A 4,236-nucleotide genomic window follows, 5' to 3' on the forward strand; every position below is an offset into this window, starting at 1 on the left:
CTTACTTGAGGTACATAGAATAGTCAAATTCATAGAGACAGAAAGTAGAACGGTGGTTTCCTGGGGTGGGGGAAGGGAGAAATGAGAAATTAGTGTTTAATGGATGCAGACTTTCAGTTACTCAAGATGAAAAAAGGTTCTGGAGATGAATGGTAGCGATGGTAGCATGATAATGGAAATGCACTCAACATTACTAAATGGTATGCTTAGAAATGCTTATGATAGTAAATTATATGTTATATGCATTTTACCACAGTTTAAAAAAGTATCTTCATGTTTAAGTAAATATGGCTATATTATATAATAAATGCCAACTTAGCTTGAGTTTTTAACGTAAAACTTGAGAATATAAAGAAATTTTACGAGGCATCACTCCCTGTGTCCGCAAAGCCTGTGGAGTCTCTCATTTAATCCTGTCCAGTATTAGCTTTTATTAGTGGACAGTTTTGAGAAACCCTATTAGGGGACTTGGACTTTATCCCATGTCAATTTTGTACCAATGATAGGTTTTAAGTTTTTAGCAGGGAAATGACATTATCAGACTTATGTTTTGAAATGTGATGGGAGGAGAACTAATGGGAAGAAAATGTTGCTGGAAACCAGGCAGGTATGGAGCAAAGCCCCATAAGTGAAAATGCAGGTAAACCTTGTTTTATTATGCTTCACAGACATTGCATTTTTATTTTATGACTTTATTTTTTTACAAATTGAAGGTTTGTGGTAACCCTGCTCAAAGCAAGTCTATCAGCACCATTTTTCCCACAGCATATGCTCACTTCACGCCTCTGTGACACAAATATTTCAAACTTTATTATTATTATATCTGTTATAGCACTGTGATCAGTGATCTTTGATGTGACTTTGTAATTGTTTTGGAGCACCATAAGCCATGCCCATATAAGACAGCACACTTAATTAATAAACGTGTAGGTTCTTATTGCTACACTGAACATTCTCTGTCTCTCTTTTTCTCCTTGGATCTCCCGATATCCTGCAATGCAACATATTGAAGTTAGGCCAATTAATAACCTACAATGGCCCCTAAGCGTTCGGGTGGAAGGAAGAGTTCAATGTCTCTCACTTTAAGTCAAAATCTAGAAATAATTAAGCTTAGTGAAAAAGATATGTTCAAAGCTGAGATAGCTTGTAAGCGTGATGGGCTGAAAGCTGGCCTCTTGCATCAAATAGCCAAGTTGTGAATGCAAATAGAAAGTTTTTGAAGGAAATTTAAAGTGCCACTGGTGAACATATGAATGTTAAGAAAACAAGATAGCCTTGTTAATAATGTGAAGAAAGTTATTGTGGTCTGGATAGGAGATCAAACCAGCCACAAAATTCTCTTAAGACAAAGCCTAATCCAGAGCAGGGCACTAATTGTCATTAATTCTGTAATGGCTGAGAGAGGTGAGGAAACCACAAAGGAAAAGTCTGAAGCTTGGAGGGGTTGGTTAATGAGGTTTAAGAAAAGAAGCTGCCTCCATACCACAAAAGTGCAAGGTGAAGCATCAAGTGCTCACGTAGAAGCTGCAGCAAGATATTCAGAAGATCTAGCTGAGATCATGGATGAAGATGGCTTCACTAAACAACAGATTTCCAATATAGACAAAACAGCCTTCTGTTGGAAGAAGACGCCATCTAGGACTTTTATAGTTAGAGAGGATAAGTCAATGCCGGCTTTAAAACTTTAAGGGACAGGCTGACTCTCTTGAAAAGGGCTAATGAAGCTGGTGACTTTAAGTTGAAATCAGTGTGTATTTACCATTCAGAAGATACTGGGGCCCTTAAAAGTTATGCTAAATCTACTTTACTTATGCTTTATAAATGGAACAATAAAGGCTAGATGACAGTATATCAGTTTATAGCATGATTTACTGAATATTTTAAGCCCACTGTTGAGACCTACTGCTCAGAAAAAAAAAAAAGGTTCTTTCAAAATATTACTGCTCATTGGATGTGAGGGCAATCTGGCTGCAACATCTCTCACCCCATTGATTGCCAAGGTTGATTCTGTGATCTGGCTGGCTAGACGGGTGTTGCCTTCCTCCCTTACCACTCTGTGTGTGTCCTTCCTGAAGCTGTACATTCGGATGAAGAGGACGACCATCCCCAATAGAGGAAGACCAGTCTTCAGTCATGGATATAAGATTAGCTGCACTCCCCTGCTAGAACTTCCAAACAGGTTTTCAAAATATTACTACTCATTGACAATGCACCTGGTCACCCAAGAGCTCTGATGGAGATGTAGAAGAAGATTAATGTTGTTGCCATGCCTGCTAACACATCTATTCTGTAGCCCATGGATTAAGCAGTGATAGTGACTTTCAAGTCTCATTATTTAAATACGTACATTTTGTAAGGCTATTACTATCATAAACAGTGATTCCTCTGATGCATCTGGGCAAAGTAAACTGAAAACCTTCTGGAAAGGATTCACCATTCTATATGCCATTAGGAGCATTCATGATTCATGGGAAGAGCTGAAAATATCCACATTAACAGGGGTTTGAAAGAAACTTATTCCTACTCTTATGGATGACTTTGAGGGGTTTAAGTTATCTGTGGAGGAAGTAACTGTAGATGTGGTAGAAATAGTAAAAGAACTAGACTTAGAAGTGGAGGCTGAAGATGGGACTGAATTGTTGAGTGCATAAGAAGTTGCTTCTGGCTGGGCACAGTGGTTCATGCCTGTAATCCAAGCACTTTGGGAGGCCGAGACGGGTGGATCACCTGAGGTCAGGAGTTCAAGACCAGCCTGACCAACATGGAGAAACCCTGTCTCCACTAAAAATACAAAATTAGCCGGGTGTGGTGGTGCATGCCTGTAATCCCAGCTACGCAGGAGGCTGAGGCAGGAGAAGTGCTTGATCCTGGGAGGCGGAGTTTGCAGTGAGCAGAGATCGCATGATTACACTCCAGCCTGGGCAACAAGAGCAAGACTCTGTCTCAAAACAAACAAACAAACAAACAAACAAACTTTGCTTCTAATGGATGAGCAAAGAACGTGGTTTCCTGAGATGGAATCTACTCCTGATGAAGATGCTGTGAGCATTGTTCAAATGACAACCAAGAATTTAGGATATTACATAAACATAATTGATTAAGCAGTGTGTGGTTTGTGAGAATTGACTCCAATTTTGAAAGAAGTTCTACTATGAAGTAACAAGCTATCCAACAGCATCATATGCTACAGAGAAATATTTTTATGATGAGGTAAACTTCATTGTTATCTTTTTTTTTTTTAAGATATGGCCACAGCCACTCTAACCTTCATCAATAACAACACTGATCTGTCAGCAGCCACAACCATCAAGGCAAGGTTATTACAATTGGGCTATTATAATATTCCAGGTAAGAGATGATGATTTCTGGAAAAAAAGATTATGACTGGGAAAAAGATTACCACCTCCTGAAGCCTCAGATGATGATTAGCATTTTTTAAGCAAAAAGGTACTTTTAGTTAATTTATTTTTATTTTTAATTTTTTTTGGGGGGGACAGAGTCTCGGTTCAGTGCAGCCTCTGCCTCCCAGGTTCAAGCAATTCTCCTGCCTCAGCCTCCCCCAAGTAGCTGGGACCACAGGCATGTGCCACCACTTCTGGCTAATTTTTTATTTTTAGTGGAGAAGGGGTTTCATCATATTGGCCAGGCTGGTCTCAAACTCCTGACCTCAAGTGATCTGCCTGCCTTGGCCTCCCAAAATGCTGGGATTACAGGTGTGAGCCACTGTAACCAGCATTAATTAATTTTTAAATTAATTTAATCTAATGTTCTTCTTTTTAGACACACTGCCATTGCACACGTAAGTATACACTTAAGTATGTATATATTTATAGTATATACAAAACTTTTGTGTGTACTGGGAAACCAAAAAATTTCTGTGACTTGCTGTTCCAATATCTGCTTGATTGTGGTGGCCTGGAACTGAATCTGCAGTCTCTCTGGTGTCTTGTGTATCTCATGTGCTTCAGGAACAGCACGTAGGCCACAGCAGTGGATGTGCAGAGATGTGGATAAGGCAGGGAGAAAATCAAGTTGGAGAAGGAGTCTGGAGCCAGCAAATAGAGGGAGTTGAAGGTCCACGTCAAGGATTTTAGATTTTATTCTATGTATATTGGAAGGCATTTGAGGTGGTGGGGAGGGGAGAAACTCCTGACTTTTTACCAGAAACCCGACGCTCGTCATCGCCATCTTCACTTTCTGATGCTCTTATATTCAGTCACAATTCTGGTTTATGTG

The 4,236-nt window shown here is 39.6% G+C and overlaps 1 pseudogene; it reads left to right on the forward strand.

Annotated features, from left to right (window-relative positions):
- RN7SKP181 (RN7SK pseudogene 181) lies at window positions 1,950-2,265 on the forward strand (annotated as a pseudogene).

This window comes from Homo sapiens, chromosome 15 (genome assembly GCF_000001405.40).
Source record: "Homo sapiens chromosome 15, GRCh38.p14 Primary Assembly".
Taxonomy (NCBI): Eukaryota; Metazoa; Chordata; class Mammalia; order Primates; family Hominidae; genus Homo; species Homo sapiens.